General features: G+C 49.6%; 1 protein-coding gene and 1 long non-coding RNA gene across 8 annotated transcripts in view, besides 3 other annotated features; both read right to left on the reverse strand.

The window, feature by feature from the left end:
• The window catches only part of ROR2 (receptor tyrosine kinase like orphan receptor 2), a 227,628-nt gene that overhangs the window by 111,826 nt on the left and 89,420 nt on the right, over window positions 1-26,382 (reverse strand). The window lies entirely within an intron of this gene.
• Window positions 9,169-9,743: an enhancer, noted in NCBI's record as "H3K4me1 hESC enhancer chr9:94605877-94606451 (GRCh37/hg19 assembly coordinates)". NCBI's record gives its function as "activates a minimal SCP1, AML or CMV promoter by ChIP-STARR-seq in naive H9 embryonic stem cells {active_cell/tissue: H9 hESC(naive)}" and the evidence as "EXISTENCE:reporter gene assay evidence [ECO:0000049][PMID:30033119]".
• Window positions 16,554-24,787, reverse strand: LOC124902210 (uncharacterized). The gene is made up of 3 exons (XR_007061662.1): window positions 18,444-24,787; window positions 17,895-18,057; window positions 16,554-17,542 (listed from the first exon to the last, which is right to left on the reverse strand). It is a non-coding gene; the product is annotated as an uncharacterized LOC124902210 (long non-coding RNA).
• Window positions 22,439-23,098: an enhancer, noted in NCBI's record as "H3K27ac-H3K4me1 hESC enhancer chr9:94619147-94619806 (GRCh37/hg19 assembly coordinates)". NCBI's record gives its function as "activates a minimal SCP1, AML or CMV promoter by ChIP-STARR-seq in naive H9 embryonic stem cells {active_cell/tissue: H9 hESC(naive)}" and the evidence as "EXISTENCE:reporter gene assay evidence [ECO:0000049][PMID:30033119]".
• Window positions 23,099-23,758: an enhancer, noted in NCBI's record as "H3K27ac-H3K4me1 hESC enhancer chr9:94619807-94620466 (GRCh37/hg19 assembly coordinates)". NCBI's record gives its function as "activates a minimal SCP1, AML or CMV promoter by ChIP-STARR-seq in naive H9 embryonic stem cells {active_cell/tissue: H9 hESC(naive)}" and the evidence as "EXISTENCE:reporter gene assay evidence [ECO:0000049][PMID:30033119]".

Here is a 26,382-nt window from a genome sequence, read left to right on the forward strand (position 1 = left end):
GCAAACATCAATCCTGAACTCAGCCTGGCATGAATTTTCCTTTATTTAACTCTAGCCATGGCAGAAGACATATTCTCTACACCTTATGCATGGAATAGCTGGGACAAAATACCCCACCAGTCCCGTCGTCAGCAGGGCTGCTCTGTGACAGCCATGAGAAGCAAAGGTCAGCGAGATTCATGCAGACACACAGCACTGAGAAAGGGACCCATCTATCAAAACACTTAAGATTCCAACATGAAAAACCTAAGTGGAGTCAAATTGTCAGGACCTTCTCCAAAGGTATGGATCCCAAATGAGAGCTCTTGCGATTTTAAAGCCGAGCAAAACTGTTGTCCTGAAACCAAGGAAGGTGTGGCCCATCTGCACACACACAGGTTTTACCTAAAAGTTCCAGTGAGCTTTTGACTCCTGCAGAGCTCAAGATAAACACAGCTCCAATAAAACCCGATAGCATGGGCTCTGTTCAAGTGAGACCACTTTACAACTTGACCAAGCACTCTGCCAGGAAATGATTGCTTTTCCAGTCCAGCACAGGAATGCACCCTGCCTTATGTCTCTGGGCACAAACGTCACTGTGGGTGGGTGGGCCAGGGATGAGGAGCCTGAGGCCAGGCATGTCTTACAACACATGGTGATGGAGCTGAAGATGCCTAAAGAGACCCCTGCAGACACAGCCCCTGCAGACACAGCCCCTGCAGTCTTCATGTGCTGCCCCCTTGTTGGAAGCCTCTCTCCACAACCTGCTGCCCCCTCACCTCCAAGGGTCCTGCACCAATCCAGCCAGTTCACAGCAGTGCCATTTGCTAATGGAAGCAAAGATGTGCCTCATGAAACAAACATGCTAGGCCACCCCAAAATAGCCTTGGCTCCTCTGTCTTAAAACACTTCCATTTCCGTGGCTTCTTTAAGGAGACATGTACAATTTCACCATGACGGTTGCACTGATTTATGGGCTCCATTGCTCTCTTCTCTGCACACACACTGCCCCCAGCCCTCATTCCATATACTGGAAAAGCAGAAGGAGCAAAAACAGCCTGTCAGAGCCACTGGGGGCTGCCCTGACATGCTCAGAGTTAAATGTAGATTGGAACTCTCTCCACGGCCCTGCTGCCCCATCCCTGATCCCCATCTCCTATGAGTGAAAATGTTCCCAGTAAGGCTACCGACTCATCGCAGTAAACTCAGGAGCCTGCAGCAACAGCAGTGAGCATCTTTCCATAAGACCTGTAAAATCATTAAAATGAACTAAATCTCTCCAGGAAGACCAGCAGGGGTGGGAGGGAAAAGCTACCACTACTTGCAGCTGCAGGAGGCGGAAGGGTGCACCTGTGGAGCTCAGGGGCTGACTGGTGGAGGCCAAGCCACCTGCCAGCCTGGGAAGGTCTCCCACAAAACCTTTCTCAAGAAGACACCACAAAAACACTCTCACGAGATGTCTCCTCCACATGTCCGCCTTTCACTTCTATAGTAATTGCTTAATTTCTGGGCGCTAGGACAACGCTTTTGTGATCGTCACTTCCCTACCTTTCTGTATAGCTTGAAAACAGCTTTCCCCAGCCGTGTTTGGTAAAATCCAAGGCACATGCAAGCAATGAGGTTTTACTTCCTGCATTCCCCCGCTAAACAACAGAGTTTGGTTTCACCTATTTTAAAAACACACAAAACTTTGCACATGGAATCCCACCATGCTTCTCTGTGGCCTCCTTCTTTCCTTTGTCATCTGGTGGTGGGATTCACCCACAGTGTAGCTTGTGGGTGAAGTTCATTTGTTTTTATTGTCGTATGGCACTTTGTCCTGGGAAGAGGTACCAATTATTAATCCAGTCTGGACCAGGCATCATGGTTCACGCCTGTAATCCCAGCACTTTGGGAGGCTGAGGCGGGCAGATCACTTGAGGTCAGGAGTTCGAAGCCAGCCTGGCCAACATGGTGAAACCCCCTTTCTACTAAAAATACAAAAATTAGCCAGTCGTAGTGGTGCGTGCCTGTAGTCCCAGCTACTTGGGAGGCTGAGGCAGGAGAATCGCTTGAACCCAGGAGGCAGAGACTGCAGTAAGCCAAGATCGCACCACTGCACTCCAGCCTGGAAGACAGAGTGAGATTCCATCTCAAAAAAAAAAAAAAACAGTCTGCAGCTGATGGATGTTCAGGAGCAGCAATGCTAAGAAAGCCCAGGTCTCCTCTGTCCTCTGGTGCGACAACGCAGCTAACTGCCTGCCCCTGCCCCACCCCCGGTCTGGGGGCTGTGCCAGCTGATGTCAGCTCTGAGGGTGGCAGGAGGAGCTGCGGCTCACAGGATCCTGCATTGGGGCGAGTTCTGGAACTTCTTGAAGCCTTGGTTTTTCCAGGCTGCCCAGTTATGAATGGCAGCTCGCTCCTCCACCTCTGCCGCCTGGGCAGTGGCCTCAGCCAGGTGCCAGGCAGGAACCCCTCAAATCACACAAGCCCTGTCCATTCAGTCTGTCTGCTATATTCCACTTACTAGCTGCAGATTTTTGTTTGCAGCTTTGGTCAATGGTATATACCATGTTTTTCTAGAGGAAAGAAATTACAGTAATTTAAGATTATTAGATTGGAAAATCATCACAAGAAAATAAAATAATTTTTCTTTAAAAAAACTGTATTCAAGGAAAACAACTTTAAAAGTTCACTCGAGATGTGTACATGGTAATAAATGGTTCCTTAGGAATTTCTGTTCTGCATTGCTTACTGTTTTTTTTTTTGTTGTTGTTGTTGTTTTTTGAGATGGAGTCTCACTCTGTCGCCCAAGCGAGTGCAGTGGCGCGATCTCAGCCACCACGCCCAGCTAGTTTTTTGTATTTTTAGTACAGACGGGGTTTCACCATGTTAGCCAGGATGGTCTTGATCTCCTGACCTCATGATCGGCCCGCCTCAGCCTCCCAAAGTGCTGGGATTACAGGCGTGAGCCACTGTGCCCAGCCTGCTTACTGGTCTTAAAACAAACAGCCATGTCATGAGATCACATCACATCCACTATAAAAAACCAAAACTTGTAACAATAAAAAAATCACCAAATATGACTGGCTGAAACTTAGCTGTTTAAGAAGGGAGGCGGGGAGAAGCCTTGCCATATTAAAACAATCCCCCTGCTCTTTGCACTTTATGAACACTACCCAAAGGTAAGCGATCTTAAGGGGCTTGGGGAAGAAGGCCAATCAATTAAAGGATCAGCAGTTATTCTCAAAGCCATCTCATAAATTTTTCATGTCCCAGTTGTCTCATTTTCAAGATGTTTAACGTGTTTTAAAAGGAGAAGACAAATTCCACTTGTGCATAAGAAAATTTCTTAATGTCCAGTGTTCTTAGATTGATCTACACACATTTGGCAAGTAGAAAAAAATATATAGTTTTAATCACTGTTGTAGGTTTTTTAATTTTAAGCTATAAGGTAGAAGTAAAAGAATAAGGAATGTAGGCTACAGCGCCACGTGTTCACACATTCTAAGTGGAACACATAAAAGAAAAAAAATCACCGAACCATACTTTTCTTTTCATTGTCGAACTGCCACTTTAAATATGTATTTTAGGAAAAACAGAAATTACCCATACTCCCCCTACCCTCACAAAACTAGTTTCATTTTTGCATGTTGACGTCTAGCTTTTACTGCCTTGTCTGGGAGTTTATTTAGGGATTTACAGTTTATTAGGCAGTTAAAATCTTTACCGTGTTCCTTAACCTGGGCATACCTTATGTGTGTAATTCTCCCTCTGGATCCTGAAAGATGTGTTCACTGCAACTTTAAGAAGGAAAAATCGCCCCTTTGAAATGCTCAACTTAGCCTATTAGCTTATAAAAGCAAATTAAACCAGGCACCACCAGGCCATTTCTGAACCAAGTGAGCCACTCAGACTATGGATTAACCTGAAGGCCCCGAGAGCTGGGACCAGGGCCAAGTGCGCACACAGTGTTGAGTGAAGGGCTGAGACGCCCTTCTGCATCTCCTGCAGCCCCTCCCCTCCTGGCACCTGAAACATTCCTGACTCACCAGTCATGCCACGCCTGGTCACAGCCGCTATCTTTTCTCTCCTTGGCATAAGCTATCTTTTGTATAGACAAGACACGAAAACACCCTGAGATCGGACTGCGGGGTTTCATTCCGAGTTAAGATCTCATCTTCAGAACCCTCTGCTTCTGATGTTACCACTGGGGAATGGGTCCCTCACCAGGCTCGCAGGCAGCCACCCCAGCATGGCTGTCTCGGCCCCTTGGGAATAGAGACCCCGAGCACCACGGCCGGCGCAGGAGACCCCGCTGCAGTCGGAAAATAGGATCTCTCCCGTTAGACCCTTTTTAAAAGAGTAAAGGCATTGTGTGTCCAAGCATTAACCATGACAGATGTTATGAGTTATCGTGAAACCCAGCATTCATAAAAGCAGTGCTCCATTCTGGAGTTTTAAATAAACGGGCACAAAGAACAAGAAAATCGTCTTTCGGCACACAGTAGAAGTCTGCTTCAGCAGAAACTAGAGAGAAGTTCCCGGTGGACTCTAAGGGAGAATTAGATAAATTTCAGTTTGGGAGAGAGGGAAATCTAACAACGGAATCCTGGGCAACGAGTCAAAAATGGCATTAAAATAAAGACACAAAAAGCACACACTACACAACATGCAAGGCCCTCCGCACTGGCTACGCGCAGGCACATAGCAACACAAGCGTGGGATGACAGCAGCTTAGGAAAGAATTCACCAATTAACAAGATGAAGGGGTTCTGGGGGGCAGCAGGAGGCTGGGTGTATTTCGTGTTTACCAAAACACCTCCTCCAATATCCTGGCCTGATTCCTGGTGCTGTCAGATCGGGGGTGTGTGTGTGTGTGTGTGTGTGTGTGTGTGTGTGTGTGTGTGTAAGTACAGGCATGTGTGCCTGTGTGTATATGTGTGGTGTATGAATGTGGGAGGGGTGTGTCTGTGTGTATATGGTGTATGTGTGTATGTATGTGGTGTGTGTTGTGAGTGTGGGTCTGTGGGGTGTGTGTGTATGTGTGGTGTGGGGTGTCTATGTGTGTGTGTATATGTGAGGTGTATACGCGTGAGGATATGTGTGCACATGCTGTGGGTATGTGTGGTGCGTGTATGTTGTGGGGAGGTATATGAGTGTGGTGTGTCTGGTATATGAATGTGAGGGAGTGTGTTTGTGTGTTTCTTTGAGTTTGTCTATGGAAGTATGTGGTATATATTGTGTGTGTGGTGTGAGAGGTATATATGTGGGGATACATGTTTGTGCATATGGTGTGGGTGTGTGTGTGTTGTATGTGGTGTGTGTGTGCTGTATGTGTGGTGTGTGTGGTATGTGAGTGTGGCGTGCATACATGTGTGTCTGCCTCTCTACTGGGTGATGTGTCCCGGGGGAGCCTCGGGAGCCAGAAGTCGGTTTTCTCCACCGACACTCCTGAGGGTGATCTGTTTAATACAATTCCCCTTCTCAACCACCTTTTACTTGGGGACACCCCACCAAAAGTGCACCCCTTTCTTTTCATAAATGTGTTTCTTTCCATCACTCACAAAAGGCTCTGGTGATGAAACATCCCCACCTGCGTTGCCCACAGCGCTGTATCACCCCACACTGTACTGGCCCCCGTTCCCTGGACTGCCCAGCATTTCTCAGGGAGAGCCTCACCCTGCCCGGGAAATGCCCACTTCATCTGGCAGAGCAGAGAGTACCTGGCTGCTTAAGGGGCACTCCCGAGGCCCCGCTGTCCTGGGAGGCACATTGGGAGTGGGTAGTAGAGGAATCAGAGCGGAGGGACCCGGGAGAGCAAGGACCAGCAGCTGCACAGGAACACACGTGTGACATTAAAATGCCACAACGGCCCGGGATAACGTTACCCGTTTCTCTTTCTCTTTCTAACCTTCTCTTCTTATGAATGAGGAAACCTGTAGTTCTGCAGTGCACTGAAAACCCAGAGCCTTCCAGTGACAGACCCCAGACAAGAACAAACACTTCCAAAGGCACCCTCCAGACGGGCCCACCATACCCAATTGCTTCAAGGAGGCCTCTGTTCATTAAAATAAACCCACATCACTGAGACAGGAGAGATGTCTGACGTTTTCTTTCCAGTTTTGATGCCAGCTCCCCTCTTTCAGGCCTGGGGCCACATGCAGCGAGGCTGGATCCCCAGCTGGGGGCCTTCCTCCTGAGCTGGCCATGCTCCCTGGCCCTACAACAGCACCGCCCATACTTTCTCAGTCAGTATCTGCCCAGCGCACAGGGAATGAGGAGAGACAAACACACCAACAACCAAGACAGGTGAGGCGGTGATGGCCAGAACCAAATGCCAGCCTGGGTGACTCTCTCAACTGTCTCCCAGGCAGGCCTGGAGCATCCAAATCCCCTCTGCGTGTCCAAATGAGATAGCGGCAGCCCCTTGTTCCTACGCAAGGACCTGAGATCCACACCCCATGCTCCAGCTCTGTTTCATTCTCTAGCCATTTCATTGCATGCATTTGTTGTATCCTATACATGTGAGACCATTATAGATGTGTGGTCATGGGCTGTATGCATTAATGGCATGATTTGCAAGACTGTGTCCAACTACCAAAGACAAGCTGAAACAGCTCCTTATATGTAATACAGCAGAGCTTGTGCACCCACAGCCAAATCATAGACTGAAACAGGCATCACGTGGGTCCAGTCTCATTCCCCGGCCATTGGCCCATCAGTTGACCGCCCTTGAGCTCACGTATGCTCCTTTTATCCTCATTTTACAAAGCAAAACAAAGCACAGAATACAGAGGGATCTGCACGGATGACCTGGAACTTTGTGGGTGTTCACTCCCAGAGTGATGGAAGTGATTAACACATTAATAAATACATGAGTCCACGGAAAACTCAACATTTTCTAGAGTTTGACCAGGAGCTTTTTAAAACTCACAGCAGTCCCTCTTCTAAGCTGCCACACCAACACTTTAAATGCTCCTCTACCAATTCATAAATTCTCTTAGGTCTCGGAATGTGGCTTCTGCCTGAATGCCCATGAGACTGCCCCTAAAGTCACAGCCAAAGCTGCAGTCCCTGACACAGACTGGCAAAGGCCGGAAGCTCTTCAAAGTATTAATTTTAAAAGATTATTTTTATTGGTTTAAGGTGATAATGTTTTAAATCTAACCATCAGGTGGTTTGCAAATGGGTGAGGTCTGTGAAAAAGTCTGTAAATGTGTATTTCCATGCAAAAGCTGGTGCTCAGCAGTACAGCCCGGTGGGCTCCTGAGCAGCCTCCCTCGTCCCTCTGCCCTCCACACGTCTGCATGACCTCTCCTGGGAGCAAGCTTTGGCAGGGGACTCCTTCAATCTTCAGTGCCCTCGGATGCCAGCCTGGTGGGGTTTGCACCAGACCTCCCTGCCATCCCCACTGGGTTTCCTCTTCTTAGACTGTTTCTTATATTAATGGCACCTCAACTGCCAGCAGCCTATGCATTTCCTCCACATTCTGTGCATGGCCCTGGCAGCCACCATGAGAGTCATCTCTGTCTGCATTTTCCAAAGAAAAGACAGAATGCCTTACCCAAGGCCAAGCAATGAAGTCAGGGCGGGGAAGGATGTGGACCTCTGATGGACTCACCCTGCCAGCCCCACCCACCAGCCTCACCAGGCCAGGCTTCCAGTAACAGGACTTGGATCCATACTGCCCCTGTGCAGACCCATGCCTGCAAAGCAAGTGCAGAATAAAGAAGAGAGAGAAAGAGAAGTAAGGAAAGAAAGGAGAGAAAAAGCATAAAGAGGAGAGATGGTCAAAAGCAAGTATCTTCAAGAAATGGACAGCAGGTGAAGGAAGGAGTTATTTTCCTCATCCCCTAATTACTCGAGCATACTCCTGATCCCCAAGTGTCACAAACATCTACTGTCCTGATTACTATTACTGCTGTCAAGATTAGGAACAGCCAACACATGTATGCCAGGTGCCATGCATGTGTTATCTCCTTTAATCCTCACAATGACCCCATCATTATCCCGATTATCAGCTGAGGAAACTGAGGCACCAAGAATGCAAGTCAATAGCACAGGCACAAGAACCCAAATGCTGGCCCTTGGGGGCCGTGTCCTCACCCCGTGCGTTAGTGTCTCATGCCAGAGGCCAATCGGACGCCACAGGCATGGGCACTCTCCACCAACTGTGACCTAAAGAACAGCACAGCCAGCCCACTTCCAATTGTCCACAGCTTCTCTGCCTCTGAGGCAATGAGGAGAAATGGGCTGGGTTTGCCCAGACAGGCACTTTGAATATTCCAGTATCTTAATTCCACCTCTGGAATCAGAGGGCAGCAGGCAGGAGGTGCCAGGGCTCCTGCCACCCCCCTCCTCCTTTCCCGAGAGCCCAGAGGCCACCTCCAGCCACCTGTCACTGATGTGCTGCTCTGCATCCAGCTGGCACACAGGTGCCACCTAATTCTCTGCAGCTCTTTGCTTTCCTGCAGCAGTGGTGAGGGGGGCATCCCCTCAAGAGGTGTCTTCCCCCTCTCTCGAGCAGAGGTGAAAACACAGATGCTCCCAATTGAGAGCTGCCTAAACACCCTTGCACGTGAGCCCCTCAGATGGGGCACTCTGGGGTTTCTTTTCCTCTTTACATTTACAAACTATTTGCTAAAAGGATATGAATTTAAAAGAGAACAACTAGAAGCAAAAATGAGAGAAAAAAAACCCACAGAGAATGTGTTTACATGCGCAGGAGGGAAAGAGCATGTTGGAGCTGGAGGGAGCAGCCAGTTATCCAGGGAATACAGAAAAAACACAGTGGCCTGCGGCCCTGCAAAGACCCTGAAGACACGTACAGGAACTAGAGGATGTCCTCAACCTCTCATGGCTCCCCTGGAATGAGGGCCTCAGAACACAAGCAGGTGCTGTCCAGGAGCCCTAAAGTCAGTGGGGTCTGAGCCAGAGGGCCCTCCACGCTCCCCCGTGGGGCAGGTCAGGTGCATGACCAGGTTAAAGACTCAGATGGCCCCATCAAGACAGTCTGTTGTATCCTAGACTTATTTTTCCAGAAATGTTCTTATTTCCGACATAATACGTCCTTCCTGACAGCCCTCAGTGCCTTTAAGAAATGCTGATCTAGATGAGAGGCGCAGGTGGGGAGTAGGGGCTGCTGACTTCAATTCTCTGCTTTGTAAGGAGAAAATGGACTTCTCCTAAAGGGCTGTGACCCCCAATCCCACTAGCTTGCTCGCACTTAGAAATTACTATATGTCTAGAGACTCCACACAACTACAGTTCCTCCGCATGCATGTCGATGTCTGCAGGTGATAAATCACAGGGAACACAGGGGCAGCAGGAGGAGCCCCAGTAGAGACAAGCCCCGTGGCACCACCCCCGGCTCCAGAGTCTGCACATGCCCCGCCTGGCTGGACCATGTCTGCTTCTCATTGAGGAATGAGTGACCTCGTTTAGTTAGAAGGGCTTGGCAGAGTTTTTCTAAAAATCTCAATTCAAAACACAACCAACCCCCACATTGGTTCCAGCTGCTCCCAACCCTGGGATGCCGGCCCTGCTGTCTGCACCTCTGGCCTCTGAAGGCCACTTTCCTGCAGAGCGGGGCCTTTCAACAGCCACTCTGGCACTAACGGCCGTCCCCACACTCTCCTTCTAAATGCTTTTTCATCCCTGCAGCGGGGCGGATGAAGGGAGGGGGCCATCAAACGCGGAGCTGCACACGTTTCAGCAAGCTGCCCTGAGCCAGCAGCATAAATCAGAATGTGTTTTCCTATTTCAGGGTGGAGGAAATGGTTCTCCAGCAAAGTTCCCTACCGTTTCTTAAAGTGATTATTTTGATTTAAACTGCTGCCTGGTGGCTAGACTTCTAGCTACCAGTTTCAGGTCGTCTGTCCTGGGATCCGAGAGCACAAAGAAACACTGTTTGCAGGTTCCTGGGGGCCTCCTCTGGGCCGGCACACAAGATGGGCTCTCGGCCTCCACGCTCCTGCACCTTCCACAGACCAGCGCTTGTTCCTCGCCCAGGGAGCTGCCAGCCCCAAAGACACCGCCTCCTTCGTGCCACTTGCTGTCACGCAGGCTGTGGTTTTACTTCCTCCTGCCGTCCTCCAAATATCAGGCTCTCTCTGTGTCTGAAGAGAACATATGAATTTTGGGAAGGACGCAATTCAGTCCACAGCAAATCTGAAATCCACTGTACGATATTCTTAGTTTTAGGAGGCAGCGGCTGGGGCTGAACTTGCTCAAAGTTGTCCTAAAGAACTGCAGCCCCGGATGGGCCCCATGTCCAGCCCCCATACTGGCGGGATGTTGTCTTAATAGGTGTAATAGGTTCGTGGCTACCAGAACCTACACTGTTAGGAAGGTTGAAAAGAAAACCAGAAGCTGAATAAGTTCACGGGTCAAAAAGGCTGTGTTTAGTAATGATTTTCTATACTCCCCCACGGTATACAGAATAGCAAGCCTCGCCCCAGGTCCTTGCATGCTCCCATGGGACAGGGAAGGCGGGGCGGGGGGAAGGGGGTGCGGGAAGGGGAAATGTCATTCCTGCATTTTCTACACACGCATCCTAATGTAAAGCAACTATTTCATGGTTTGCAAAAGATTGCCAGACAAAGCAAAATGCATTCATGACACAGTTCAAAATTATGAATCCAATCCAGCAGAGAAAGTTACGGTGGCCTGTAAGGGGAGGGGCAGTTTTGTATTTTCTGCCCTCCCCACCCTACGCCCAAGGTGTAATGAGGAAACTTTCTCAGAAAAGGGCCCTCTGTCCAGCGACTCAAGAGCACAGTGAAAGCCTCTGCACGCACCCCTCCCCACCACCCAGCACCCTCACTCCCAGTGTAGGGCCTGGGCTGCCCAGGGTGAGAGCCTGTCCTGGGGAAGCCAGGCCCTGACCACCTGGTAAGTCTCTTCTAGGGATGCTGCAACCAGCCAGAGCCACAAGGCCATGCCTGCCCCCAAATCCAAGTCTTTCAGGTGATCTCACTGTGTGGATCCCAGGCAAGAGGATGTTCAGAGAGACATCCATACCAGCGCACCATCCCATCTAATTCTTACCCAAAACTCACCACAGGACAAGCATATGCACTAGGGGAGTTCCCAGTCAGCACCTTTCAGAAGCCAACCCCCACCCTCATGCACACCCAAAGCATGCTCACACCAAAGCATGGTTTTAATCAGCTTTGCTGGGGTATAATCTACATATAATAACACACACCCAGGCTGGGCGCGGTTGCTCGCATCTGTAATCCCAGCACTGTGGGAGGCTGAGGCGGGCGGATCACCTGAGGTCAGGCGTTTGAGAAGAGCCTGGCCAACATGGCGAAACCCCATCTCTACTAAAAATACAAAAATTAGCCGGGCATGGTGGCAGGTGTCTATCATCCCAGCTACTCAGCCGACACAGGAGAATTGCTTGAACCCAGGAGGTGGAGGTTGCAGTGAGCTGAGATCATGCCACTGCACTCCAGCCTGGGCAACAGAGCAAGAATCCATCTCAAAAAAAAAAAAAAAAAAAAAAAAAAAAAAATAGGTGTACCTTATGAAGAGCTCTGACAAATGTCTACACGGATGCAACCACCACCACAGTCCCCACTGAGAAGCAGCTGGCAGAAGAAGCAATCCCATGGTGGTTGCAGCCAGAGGTGACTAACACTCACACAGGGAGCCACTGGGTGATACCAACCCCAGGATGCCTCCCGGCTGGGCTTCTACAACAATGGGGCCCAGGCAAGGCCTGCTGTTCTCTCTCTGGACGACCTTGAGAAGTTAAGCCTGTCTCTTCATCTTAAAGCTTGGAATACTGTAGAGTGGATTACAGGCTTTGCCATGGACTGAGGCGTGTCCCCACAAAATATGTCAAAGCCTGAACCTCAGTAAGACGGTGTTTGGAGTCGGGGCCTGTAGGGAGGCAGTCAAGGTTAAAAGGGACAAAAGGGAGCTTCCAATTCAATATAGTTGGCATCCTACAAGAAGGGGAAGAGACACTGGCACTCACTCTTTCCACCCCATGAGGATGCAGTGAGAAGGCGGCCATCTACAAGCCAAGAAGAGAGCCCTCACCAGAAACCAAATCTGCTAACACCTTCACTATGGACCTCCAGCCTCCAAACTGTAGGAAATCAATGTCTGCTGTTTAAGCCGCCCAGTCTCGGTGCTTTGTCAGGGCATCTGGAGCCTACAGAGCAGACTTTCTGCAGAGAATTGAAGGTTCTCAAGGAAATCTCAGGAGAAACCTCAGTAACCACAATGCAATGGAGCTGCTCCATTCAAGCAGGCCAGAGGTTTCGGATTTCAAGTTTCGAGTCTTGCCTGTACCCTCAGCCCCCTGATAAGCACCCTCTGCGGTGGTCCCTGAACCTCATTTGCGGTGGTCCCTGAACCTTGTTTGAACTCCAGAGCTCTGGAGAAGACCCTTGGAAAGCCACTGGGCTGGAGTCTGTCTTTTCAGGTACCACTCCGTTGCCTTCTAGGGCAGATGGGGCTCAAATATCAATGACTTCAGGAACAGAACTGTGCCTCCAGAAATTATCTGTCAAAGCGGCTATAGACATGTTTAAGAAGAGGTGCCCTTCTGGTACCCAGATAACCACAGGGTACCGCATGGATTCACCATGGGGCAGAGCTGCAGACATCACAAGCTGAGGGAACAGCACATGCAAAGGCTCACAGACACAAATGGCATGGATTGGGCCGGGGGGAAATGGGGGAAGATGGAGGATGACTACAAGGAGGGAATGTGGGCTCAAGGTGGGTGTGGCCCCATCCTTCTTAAAGCAAGATTCAACAGAGAAATGAAATGAGAGCTTTAAGGCATCAGTATGTGCAGGTCTGCAGACAGCACAGACAGACTTAGAACCAGAAAGACGGGAGAAGTGCCTGTCCCACTGGACAGAAAGCCTGACCCCTCTGGGAGGCCACTTTCCCTCCCTCCTGGACCCCTCATTAGGCCTCGCTACCATCTCCCCAAATTCCAGAGGTAGTCCTTTGCAGACAAGATCTACTGCCAGGTCCCTCGACGCCCCCTTGCTCCTCTGTACAAGGCACCAAAACATGGGAAGCAGGCTTCATTTGCATACCACACATATACTCCCCCAGAAAGGGCTCCCTAATGCAGTCCCCCCACTTCCCACATAAAGAGACTTGAGGGCGCCAGAGGAGGCCCTGCAGGAGCCAGCTCATACAGCAACAGTTCCAGTCTTTCAAAGTAAGCCCAGGCAGGCGGGACCCAACTGCACCCCAGCTCTCCTCCAGAGCCGCTTTTCTCATTTCCGTGTGCAGCCTGCCAGGGCTGAGGGTCGAGAGCAGGCCTGAGAATGAACCCCACTCCCAGCACATGATGGATCCTGCCCTTGCCGGCCAGGAGATGCTGGTCGCAGGAAGACATCCTTCACGTCTTCGCTGCCACCAAGAATCACACTCCCCAGAACTCAAGTTCCGCTCGACCAAGCTCAAGTCAGGCTTTGATCTTGCAGGAAACACCCACGCAGACTCACTCTCCAGGACGGGAAGGATGCAGGAGCCAGCTTCAGCAGAACTCCTGGCTAGCAGCTCTGCCTGGCAGTACAGAAACTGTCTCAAAATGTGAAACAGATGAGCCTTTTAAAGAAAGTTATTTATATTGTGGAATCTTTCAGAGCAAGCAGAAACTTGAAGAGCCTTATCACCTGGGGCACAAAACCAAGGATACTCGAGTCTTCTCTCACCATGGAAATGGATGTGATTTTACCAAAACATAACAAGGAAATATGTTGGTTTGATGCTATTTCTTGATTTCTACTTCTGATAACGTATGCATGCCAGTCCTAATCAAGACAGAATGCCATTCAATAAGCTGACAAAGAACTCTTTTCCTGCGAATCCCCTACCTTGAAGGTCAGTATTAACAGTGAAGCATGGAAATTAAATTAAATTAAACCAGGGGAGCGGAGCTGTATGTAAACTCTGCTGGTTTTTCAGAAAAGGAGTGGACCTCTGTCTGTCCACCCATCTGGAGGCAGGGCATCAGATGATGGACGTAGATATATGGGGGCTCTGCTCAGTGCCATCTGTGTTTTAATCAATCTGGCTAACGCTTAATTTTTTAAAAATAACATTTGGGGCCAGGCAAGGTGGCTCATGCCTGTAATCCCAGAACTTTAGGAGGCCGAGTTGGGTGGATCACCTGAGGTCGGAAGTTCAAGACCAGCCTGGCCAACATGGCGAAACACTACTAAAAATACAAAATTAGCCAGGTGTGGTGGTGCATGCCCATAATCCCAGATACTCGGGAGACTGAGGCAGGGAGAATCGCTTGAACCTGGGAGGCAGAGGTTGCAGTGAGCTGAGATCGCTCCATTGCACTCCAGGCTGGGCGACAGAGTGAGACTCCGTCTCAGGGGGGAAGAAAAAAAAAAAAAAAAAAAAAACAGTTGGACCTAAGGCTGTAGTTGAAATACTGTACTAGACTCATGCTGGCTGAGAGTTGGGAACATGTTTATACTATTATCCAGGTAGCATACAAAGGGGAGATACACATTCTAGTGTTTGGAGATTTTTAAAGCAATTACAATTCCTTAAAAGGTATTATTGTCTAGGAACATCAGGACTCTTACAATGGACTGCAGTGAGTCTACAGGGAAACATTCCCCAGCCCTAAGTGCAGTTCCACAGCGACCACCCTCCATCATCCCATCCGAACAGATATCTAGCAGGCATGTCTAGCAGGTGCCCACACTTCGGAAGTGACTCTAGGGCTTGCTTGAGATCACCTTGGCCAACCTTACCATGGGACCAAACCCTTTCTTGAGTGGTTTTGTAATTTCAAGAGAATCACAGGAAATGTTCCCACAAGCTCTTCTTTACCTCCCAACTACGGTCAGATGAGATTCCCAGGCTTTTCTTGATTTCAACATGGAGAATCAATCCAGGGGTGAGGAAAGAGAACAAGAGATCAAATAAAGGGGCCCTGTAGGTAGAAATAAACTGCCACATGGAAAATATCTTGACTGGCGAAAACGCAATCTCTTCACTTTCAAAGATGTGCTTCCAAGCTCCCCTCTTCTCTTCAACTTTCCTGTTAAAACTAACACTTCCAAGGAAGCCGGCTAGAAAGAACCCTGGGCTCTGACCCTGATTCCCACCCTAGGCCACATGGCCATGTTCATATGTAATCCACAGCCCTAGAATCAAATTTGATTTCCTAAAGAATGTGGACTTCTGGAGATTACTACAGAATATCTGACCTTTTGTTTCATTATGCCCTTTATTGTGTTTCATTATACCCTTACATTTGAAACTTTCTTTTATACTATGCAAGTATTACGTGAATACACTCCTCTCTTTGAGTCACACTTGTAGATAAAGCTGAAGTCTCTTGGACATGACTTCAACCTCCCCAGATAGAACCAGTTAGTACTGTGTCATTTACGCTTTCAAATCTTCCTCTGCCTGTAGGAATATCGTGTTTTGAACATGTTGTTTGGCCTAAATAGCATCACTATCTGCATGCTACTTGGAGATCTTTGAGGTTTGAGTCACCTCATTTTCTTCATTGCTGTGTAATATTCCCTAGCACTAATATTCCATATTTATGAGTTGGTTTTCTGGTCATTTCCAAAGCAATAAACACTTAAGTTATTTCTTTTTCTCCCACAAACAGCATTGCTATGAATATCCTCATATCGACTTCTCTGTGCCCTGAGCTCAGTATGTCTGGAAGGCAAATCCCAAGACACAGAATTACTGGGTTTGTGGGTGCACCTGTTATTGATTTTAAGGACAGCTGACTGTCCTCCAAAGTGGATGTGGTAATCTATACTCCACAGTTTATTAAAATGCCCATTTCCCCATACCCTCACCTTAAACCCTGCTAATATAGTTAGAAATCATAACTTATGTTATTTTATGTTTCCTAATATAGTGTGGAAGACAGAGTAAGGATCCACCCAAGATGGCCACATTGTAATCCCCAGAACCTGTGACCATGTGGCCTTACATGGCTAAGGGGACTTTGTGGGTGTGATTAAATTAAGAATCCTGAGATGAAGAGACGACCCTGGACAATCAGGTGGGCCCAAAGTACCCACAAAGGTCCTTCAGGACCACAAGAAAAGACTGTGACGCTGAAGCAAAGGGAAGGAGACAGGGAAACCATGCTGCTGGCTCTGAAGATGGACAAGGGGCCATGAACCCAGGTGGGTCTGGAAGCCAGAGAAGGCCAGGAAATGGGAAGAGGCTGTGGGGCTGTGAGGCCACACCCACCCAGGCTAGACTTCTGGCCTGCAGAACTGTAAGGGGATAAATTTGTCTTGTTTTAAGCAACTAAGTGTGTATTGGTCACAGCAGCCAGAGGAAATTAACGTAACTCGCAAAGATGAGTCTCTTCTCTAATTTTACTATTTATATATTATTTTTTGAGAATCCCTTTAAAAATTGTCCTTTGCCCCTTCAATAGGGCTTCTATTAAGATTTACCAATTATTTCTATTACAGTTCTTGTTGACTTATTAAGAACGATTTTCCTACCTCAATGTCATAAACAAATTCTCATCTATTTTTTTCAGGGGGTGACTGGTATTAAAACAGATGTCTAATATGATCTTCTCCCAAAGGCACACTCAATTGTTCTAACATCATTTATTTAAAACTTCACTATTTCCCCACTCATTGGAAAAGTGAGTGAATTTATCACTTAATAAATTCCATAGATTCCGGCCGGGCGCGGTGGCTCATGCCTGTAATCCCAGCACTTTGGGAGGCCGAGGCAGATGGATCAAGAGGTCAGGAGATCGAGACCATCCAGGCTAACACGTTGAAACTCCATCTCTACTAAAAATACAAAAAATTAGCCAGGTATGGTAGCACATGCCTGTAGTCCCAGCTACTCAGGAGGCTGAGGCAGGAGAATCGCTTGAACCCGGGAGGTGGAGCTAGCAGTGAGCTGAAATCACGCCACTGCACACTCCACCCTGGGCGACAGAGCAAGACTCCGTCTCAAAAAAAAAAAAAAGAAAAGAAAAGAAAAAGAAAAAAAATTCCATATATTCCATAGGTCTGTGTGTGGATTATCTATTCTCTTCTTTTGATCTATTTGTCTATTTAATTATGACAATACATTTTGACACTGGGTAGAGCAAGGTTCTCACGATAATTTCACTTTTTCTGTCTTGGTTCTTCTTGCTCATTTTCAGTTCTACGTGGACTTCAGAAACAGCAAGCCAAATTCTATAAAATAACTTACTGGGGTGCTAGTTGGAACTGTATTAAATTTGTATTTTAATTTTGGGAGAACAGATATCGTTACAATATTACTTTCCCGTTAACAATAGGGTTTTCTGGCCGGGCATGGTGGTTCATGCCTGTAATCCCAGCACTTTGGGAGGCCGAAGCGGGCAGATCATGAGGTCAGTAGTTCCAGACCAGTGTGGCCAACAGAGCGAAACCCTGTCTCTACTAAAAGTACAAAGAATTAGCCGGATGTGGTAGTGCGCGCCTGTAATCACAGCTACTCGGGAGGCTGAGACAGGAGAATCGCGTGAACCTGGGAGACGGAAGTTGCAGTGAGCCGAGATGGCACCATTGCACGCCAGCCTGGGTGACGGTGCAAGACTCTGTTAAAAAAAAAAAAAAAAGACAATAGGGTTTTCTTCTCCAGTTAGTCTAATCTTCTTTCAAATTTTTCAGTGAAGTCTCAGGAGTGTTGTGCCTTTCTCACTAAGGTTATTCCTGGGTATCTGAATGGCTTTGCTGCTACTGGTTTTTTTTCTATTACTTATTTTTATGGTTACAGATATATAAAAATGCCACTGATGTTTCTAAGTTGGTCCTGAATCCTCCAGCCAACATACTACATCTCTGTATTGGTGCTAACATTTTCAGTTGAGTCCCTTGCATTTTCTAAATAGACAACTGAACCAACCACAACTAATGAGAGTTTTATCATTTTACAAAATGTATACTTACCATTTGCTTAATTTAGCTTCCCCACTTGGAGAAATTCTGTCATATCCAATAAACTCATGTGGCTCTTTGCAACCTCCTAGTGTCCTGGAGACCAGCTTCATCTTTCATGACAGCAGCTATGACTGCTGTAAAGCAATGACTCCATCCCAGATGGTGGAGGGAGCTGCATTCAAAATATAATACAGGAGGATTTCCTGAAAGAGGTGCGGAGGGCAGCATTTTGTCTTCTCTTCACACCAGGGAACTTGAGCCCATCTGGATTCAGTTGAAAGGGCAGAGTTACAAATAAATGGAAAACACACAAACACACACACACACACACACACACACCCACACACACAATGTAAGTCCATAAGAAGTCGGTAAAAAATAGGGTCCGTGTAACAGGCCAAGGCACTGTCTTCAAAAAGTTAAAGAAATCATTCCTATCCTAACAGGAAAGAAGAGGACAAGGATGCCTATAGGAAAATGGACCAAGAACTTGGGGGATTCCCCTTCTGAAGACTTCTTTCTCCTCTGAAGAGAGTGAAGAGAAGGGAGATTTCTGACCTTCCCACTGGCACAGGCCTCTGCCACCGGACACAGTGCAGCACTGGACACGGCTGCCCCTCCTGCGTTCGCCACCTTCCTTGCTCCCTCTTCAGCGCATGCTCTGTGAGCACACTCCAGAAAGGCTGGCGGAGCGCGAGGTTGTGGGCGGGGGTGAGGGTAAAAATAACCACCATGGAGCGTGGAGGACCAGCCCCAGAGCAAGGCGATGAGGCAGCCAGGCTGTGGGAGACTGGCTGGGGACTGGGGCTGAGGCATGAGGGGTCTGATCTATGCCTGGGGTTGGGCCTTTGCCCCTGGGATTGCCAGGCCTGAGTCCGGAGACCAAAACAGCAGGGCTCCTCCGGGATGGGCCTGATCAGAGGGCACCAGGACTCAACGGCCAGAGGGCGGGCGAGTTTAACGACCCAACCAGAGTTACTGGGAAAGGTGACCGTGCTGTGAATAGGTAAGGTGGCCCCAACAGGTGAGGTGGAAGAAGGAGGGGAGGTGGCACCAGAGGACACAGCCTGGGGTCAAAAAGGTGGCACCGGGGCAGAGTGAAGCAGAAGGTCCCGGGAGGTGTGGCTCCACATAGATGGCCTTTGCAGACACAGTACTGTGACAAGTCAAGTTGGGAGGGCAGGTGCTGTCCAGCCTCCAGCCCTCCACTACACCCTGATCAACACAAGAGACTCAGGTGGGTGCAGGACCCGCTCTGAAGCCCCGAGGAGTAGTATCCACCCCTATGACAGGCAGTGCTCCTGAGACCAAGGGCTACCTCACCCCCTTGGTCCTCACTCTGGGTACTGGCTGCTAATTCAAGACAACAGGACACGTCCCACTCGACATCCCACTCTGAGAATCTACAGTGCCCGGGCTGATGCTGTGACAGTAGCGCATGAAGAGCCGAGTTGGTCAAATTTTCATGCATGAATATTCAACTCGGCCTGATGGGGCTGTGGGCAGCAAGGACTGTGGGAAATGGCAGAGAGACATGAAATCTAAAAGGAAGCAGCAAGCTGTGAGCAGAGTGAGGGTGCATGAGACGCTGAGGAACAAAGTGTTCCTTGGCCAATATCTGTAATATTTCCATCATAGATTGGGCTCCCCAAGAAGTCAATCCAGAGTGCATTTGGGAGATGAAGCCAGGGGGCCCTGAAGTGGAGTAGGAAGGAGAGGAGAAGGGGAAGAGGCCCAGAGGTAGTGCATGAGTAGGTTCCTGCTATGGGCAACACCACGCAAGACACTGGGCCCCTGTGGGAGGCCACACAGACCCTACGTCTCAGAGCTGCCCACCCCCATAGGCAAGGCAGCTGGAGCATTCACTACCCAATGAGGGCTTATTGTTGGAGGATTGCTGATAGCAGGGGGATGCACTGGCTCCCAGCACCCGACTGTACCTTGCCTGTAGACCAAGTACCCTGGCCAGGAAAGTCCTGTGACCAAGTCACAAGGGCGTGGAGTCAGCAGCCTGCAGGAGGTGGTGAGGCGTAGGATAGGGGCCAATGGCAACACTCTCCACTACATAACGACCAAGACTTGACTGGCATGGTCTTTTCTTGTCACAGACAAGCACAGACAGCACACTCTGCTGCTGCTGACCTTCTGTTCAAAGACAGTACTCCATTTGCAGAGTTGTCACTGCAAGGTAATGAGGCAGTCATTTCATTTTACCCGGAATCCCTCAGTGAAGGAGACTGGCCTTCCTATTGCTGCCCCAGTTTTGTAGACAAGAAAATTAAGAGCAAGTGTCCTCTTTTAAGGAGCCGAGGTCACGTGATAGGAGGAGTGCAGGATCAGAATCTCAGGGCCCTGGAGTCTCCGCTGCCTCTGAGAGGGCTGCAAAGTGGAAGGCGGTTGGTAAGCTGGAGGTCTCAGACCTAAACGCTGGATCAAGCAAAACCACTTACACATGCACTTTTAGAATAAGACCTCACTGCTTTGCCTCTCGTTAGAGGTAAGGTTTGAATGGTAGAGTGCTGTTTAAATAGCATTGCCACCGGCCATTTGGCTTGGATGAGCCAGCAGGGAATTAGCAAAGCCTTTTATTTTAAAAACTACTTTAATCCATCAATTAGAATAATTAGTAACTAGAAGATATGCCTCCAATATTTTAGTAAAGGCAAATGAAAAGACACATCAATAGCTTATATTACAACTGATATTAAAATGCTTCAAACAACATTTTCAGGAGAATGGAACTGTTCTGTAGGCCTCGTGAACATAAAATTTAACTTAATTACTCTTAAAAATATCTTAACTTTAAGTCAAATTATCACCCCACACCCCATCCCAACAAGTGCCTCCCCTTATCCCACAGGACCCACGTTCACATTAGACTCAATGCTCGCAGGCTGGAGGAAGCTCCTGCTGGATTGCTAATAGTTGCTCCTAGAGTCCATCCATCCTCACTCCTAGCAAGAGAGCAGCACGTGCCCAGAAAGCCCAGGCCCTGCAACTTTCCTCCCACAGGAGTGTCTGAGCGTGCATGACAAGTGCTCCTGAGACAGGACTCAGCCCAGAGAGATCAGGGCACGGCGTTCGGCCCTCCCGCCAGGGCAGCCTGGCCCTAGGCGAGGTCGGGAGATCATGCAGGCTGAAAAGTCCTGATCCCAGGCCGAGAAGGGAGGGGTGAAGGTTCATCTCCCACAGCACTGGAACAGCCCTTTCCATGGAACAGTGACCTCCACCCCCAGTTTCCTGCCCCCAGTGGCAGGGTAAGCATCTTAGAGAAGGAAGGGACACCCAGGGGCAATCAGCCTGCCTTTGCTGGAGGAATGCTTCTCCCCAGCGGGGAGCAGTGTGAACAGGCTTCCTCCTCTGGCTGCTGGTTTACGGACATCATGACATGGTGGCATGGATGAGGGGAATGGGGGTGGTATGGGGGAGAAGCATCTGGAAGCAGAGGACCAGCGTAACTACACAACTCTGGGATGCTACCTCAGAGAGGAGGGACCAGGGCGGCCTTGGGGTCAGCACCCCCAAGAGACACTGCTGCACAGAAGTCTGATACACCTGCCGGCCGGGTGAGGCACCGGGGCCGCACCACCAGAATGATCCTGGGGCTCTGGGTTCCAGGAGCCCCCAGTGAGCCAGAGAGGCAGAAATAAACAGGTTCCAGAGGTTACCCATAAAATCTTGGAATGCTAGGTCTTCCTAGCATTTGTTGGGACTTCCCAACAAAAAGTAAATTTAAAAGAAAAACGAATTGTCCTTGTAACCCATAAATAAGCTGGGTGCAGTGGCTCAAGCCTGTAATCCCAGCAACTCAGGAGGCTGAGGTGGGCTTGAGGCCAGGAGTTTGAGACCAGCCTGGGCAACATGGCAAGACCCTGTCTCCACGAACAAAGTAAAATTAGCCAGGCATGGTGGTGTGTGCCTGTAGTCCCAGCTACTTGTGCAGCTGAGGCAGGAGGATCACCTAGCCCAGCAGGTGGAGGCTTCAGTGAGCTGTGGTTGCACCACTGCACTCTAGCCTGGGCAACAAAACGAGACCTTAATATGCTCAAAATGCTGTAAGTTAAATTGCATGTCTGGGCTAAATTGTGTTCCTCCAAAATTCACAGGCTGAAGCCCTAACTCCTAGTACCTTAGAATGCATTTGGAGACAGACTTTTAAAGAGGAGATTAAGGTAAAAACAAGGTCATATGAGTGGGCCCTACCCCAACCTGACTGGTGTCCTATAAGGAGAAGAGATGACACAGACACACACAGAGGGACGACCACGTGATGAGTCAGGGAGAGGACAGCCAACTGCAAGCCAAGGAGCAAGGCCTCAGGAGAAACCAACCCTGCTGACACCTTGATCTCACACTTCCACCTCCAGGGCTGTGAGAGAATGAACGTTGTTTAAGCTGCCCAGTCTGGGGTACTTACGGCAGACTGAGCTGACAAATACGATGTCCTTGTCTGAGGCTCTACCTCCTAAACAGATGGCCCATAACAATGGCAATTCCCAACATGCACTGGGATGCTTGCTGTGCTGGCTGCCTCACTGCTCAAGCTCATAGAGTCCCCACAACAGTCCCATGCCAGGGGTATTATTTTAACCATCCACAATGGACGAGGAACAAATTCCACCATTCTCTACTAAGGTACTCACTTGAGGTCACCCTACTACTGGTAAGTGGCAGGGCCCCTGTCTTGAGTCTCCAGAATCCGTGTTCACTCCCAGAGCCTGTGTTCACTCCCATCCCCTAAAACAACCCCTTCACCAGGTGCCCATGCACACTTATGTGCAGTGTGGCAGAGAGGAGACTAGACCATGGCTCCTGAACCTGCCATCTTGTTTCACGAGTGACCATCGGGGAGGCCACCCAGCCTGCAGTCATCACCTCCTCCCCTCCCATCCAACTACACAGGTCTAACCATTTTTAGAATCCTACACATATTACAGAAACAATTTCCTAAGCAACATGAAGGCAGCCTTCCCTTTTGCACAGGAACCACCCGCAGCCAGGCTTGACCTCACTGGGCAGGCGGTGGGGCCTCGCCGCCCCGCCACTCCAGGTCCCAGCTTGGAGCAAGGGCTTTGTGACTGCCAGGGCTTCGGCAGGATTTTTACACAGCCTTGCCTTTATGAGCAACTGCGACCAGCATGAGGAACTGAGTCAACTAAAAACACACTTTTTAAAAACATTCCAGTAGGTCGTGTTCTACAGCAGGAGACTCGCAGGCACCATGAGAAAAAGGCCTTTATAAATCCAGGGCCTGTGTGCAGAGCAGTGCCTGACTGCGTCAGGAGTGAGATGTTACACACCGGCTGCTAGGCAGGACCCAGGACGAGGGGGTGGCAAGCCCGGAGGCAGGCCCCTGTCTTCTGGGCCGGCAGGAGCAGGCAACTTCCTCCCTGAGGAGCTTAAATCCCCTCCCCTCCGCCCCCTCCCCACAGCTCCCAGCGATCAATCTCCCTGGGAGGGGCCTGGAGCCACAGGGCAGCCCTTGTTTCCCTGCAGGTTCAACAATCTGGTTTTCATTGAACGGAGTATTTAGCGCTCTCCCACCACATTTTTCTTTAATTATGATAAAAGAGAGTAACTTAATCAAGCATAAATCCTGTTGAAATGAACAGGAGAAAATAAAGGGGTTAACTTGGAGAAGGAGGGGGAGAGGGTGGAAACGACGACCACAGGTCCTCCGGATATAGGCCGCCAAGCCCAGCAAATAAAAACCAAGGCTGCTTCCCACCCAGAATCCGGTCCTAATCCTCCCGCTGGAAGAAGAAACAAAGGTTGGCCATGGCCTGCTCCACTGAAGCACCTGGGGAACAAAGACCACGGTTCACCAGGCTGTGCCCAAAGACAGGACCCCGAGTTCCTACAGCTTCCAACCTGGGCTCCTGTGCCCCACACCGAGGGCTAACTGAGGTGGGGGTGCGGGTAACTGCTGGCAGCTCACCTGGGCCATGAGAAGGCACAGGCACACCTGCACACACGCATGCATCCACACGGGCATACACATCTAAGCACAGGCACACACATGCAGGCACCTGCGTGCACACAGGCACACACACGAACGCACAAACACACACACATTCACACAGGCATACATTCACACAGGCACACACAGGCGCGCACAGGGCACACACCCCACAGAGCAGTGGTTCTCAAAGTGCCCAATGAGGAGCAGCGGCTGCAGCCCCAAGGAAGTCCTTAGAAAGGCAGAATCTCAGACTCACCCAGATCTGTGGGTGGGGCCAGGCATTGTGTACTTAACAAGCCTTCTGGGCTACAATTTGAGAACTGCTAGGGCGGCTCATTAACGTGGAGGCAAAGTAATGAGTTGAAAAACAAGATCACAATATTGTCACTTCGCTTAAGGACACATTTTGTGTGTGCACTACAGCTCACAGGCAGTAATAATAACAATAGCACTTAGCCATCCCTCAGGGCCTCTGCATGCCACAGGGAGTTCTAAGTCCCGACAAGAACCAAGTCATGTAATCTCCACAAGGACCCGTGAGGCCAGTGCCAGCAACTCCAGCTTACTGATGAGGTTTACAGAAAGGTTAAGCAGCTCGCCCAAGATCATGCAGCTATGGGGGACAGAAGAGGAATCAGAGCCAGGCATCGGGCTCTATTGCCCACCTCCTGAACACACACAGTGCCAGGTGTCACCGGGGACACCAGGCAAACAGGGTTGCCACCAAGGAGGGATGAAGAACAAATGCTGGGAAGGCCTAATGCAAAGGGCTCGGGAGCCAGGCAGCATGGGTCCAGCCAAGTACAAGGCCCAGCCTGGTCAGTCCATAAGTTTGGTGACCCACAAAGAGATTCAGGGCAAGGTAAAGACCCTAGGCCAGGATGGAACTCATTCCTGCCAAGAAGGACCATCTGAAAGTATTCCTTTTTTTTTTTTTTTTTTTTTTGAGACAGAGTCTCACTCTGTTGCCCAGGCTGGAGTGCAGTGGTGCCATCTTGGCTCACTGCAACCACAGCCTCCCGGGTTCAAGCAATTCTCCTGCCTCAGCCTCCCGGGTAGCTGGGACTTCAGGCACGCCACCATGCTTTGCTAATTTTGTATTTTTAGTAGAGATGGTGTTTCACCATGTTGGCCAGGATGGTCTCGAAAGTATTTCTCTTGTAGCCTAAGAAAGATCTGAAGGCGGCAAGGGTATTTTTTGGAGTGTTCCAGACTGTGGTCCTGGGAACAATTAACAACAGTCTCTTTTGGAAAAAAACATGTTTCAGGCCAGGCAGGGTGGCTCACGCCTGTAATCCCAGCACTTTGGGAGGCAGAGGCAGGCGGATCACCAGAAGTCAGGAGTTCAAGACCAGCCTGGACAACATGGCGAAATCCCATCTCTACTGAAAAGACGAAAAAATTAGCCGGTCGTGGTGGTGCACACCTGTAATCCCAGCTACTTGAGAGGCTGAGGCAGGAGAATTGCTTGAACCTGGGAGGCAGAGCTTGCAGTGAGCTGAGATCTTGCCACTGTACTTCAGCCAGGGCAACAGAGTGAGGCTCCGTCTCAAACAAACAAACAAACAAACAAAACCATGTGTTTCAGCCACAATAAGTACATGCAGCTCCACCTGGCGGGACCATCACAAAGAAAAGCACAACTAGAAGACCCAGCCCCGTTGAGCCCACACTGGAGATGCCAGGGTGTGCTCAGTCCTGCGGGCCTGGACGCTGCTCCGGATGAGTAAGGGAGCTCGTCCTGAAAACAAGCACAGGCAGGGGCCTCTCTTGGGGAGGCGAGTGGGGACCCCAGTTGGCATGGTCTGAGGAAGGCACAGGGAGAAACAGGAGCCCTCTCAGGAAAGGCTCGGTTCCAGGCCCTTCCCATCAGGCACTGACCAGGTTAGACCTTCGCCATCTGGGAGAGGGAAGGGTGAGAGAGAAGCTGTGGGGTTCCCTTGAGAGCAGGCCGGGAGACAACGGGCATCCTTAGCAGAGAAGCCCTCGGCAGCGCTTGGTGACTCCCTGATTGTGAAAGAAACTGAAGCACCCCAAGGCTCCCTGGATGAATGGGGGATCTCATGAGAAACAGGGGAGTTTCCCATGAGAAACGGTGGCTTGAGGGGGAAGATAGTCCATCTTTGAGCAAGCACATGCCAACGGACAAAATGTATTAGTCAGAGTTGGCCAGAGAGACAGAGCCAATAGGATGTACATATGGAAATGCATGAGAGGGGATTCATTTGGGGAACTGGCTCACAGCGATCATGGAGGCTGAAAGACCCACAATACGCAGTCGGCAGTCTGCAAGCTGGAGACCCGGGGATGCCGGGGCACAGCTCAATTCAAGGCCAAAGGCCTAAGAACCCAGGGAGCCATGTGTGAGTCCTAGAGTCCAAAGGCTGGAAGGCCTGGAGTACTAACGTGTGAAGGCAAGAGGAGGGTGTCTCAGCTCCGGGAGAGAGACACCTTTTTTGTTCTATCCAGGCCCATTGGATGGTGCCACTCACATTGAGGGCAGATCTTCCCTACTCAGTCCACCAACTCCCACGC

This window comes from Homo sapiens, chromosome 9, assembly GCF_000001405.40.
Source record: "Homo sapiens chromosome 9, GRCh38.p14 Primary Assembly".
Taxonomy (NCBI): Eukaryota; Metazoa; Chordata; class Mammalia; order Primates; family Hominidae; genus Homo; species Homo sapiens.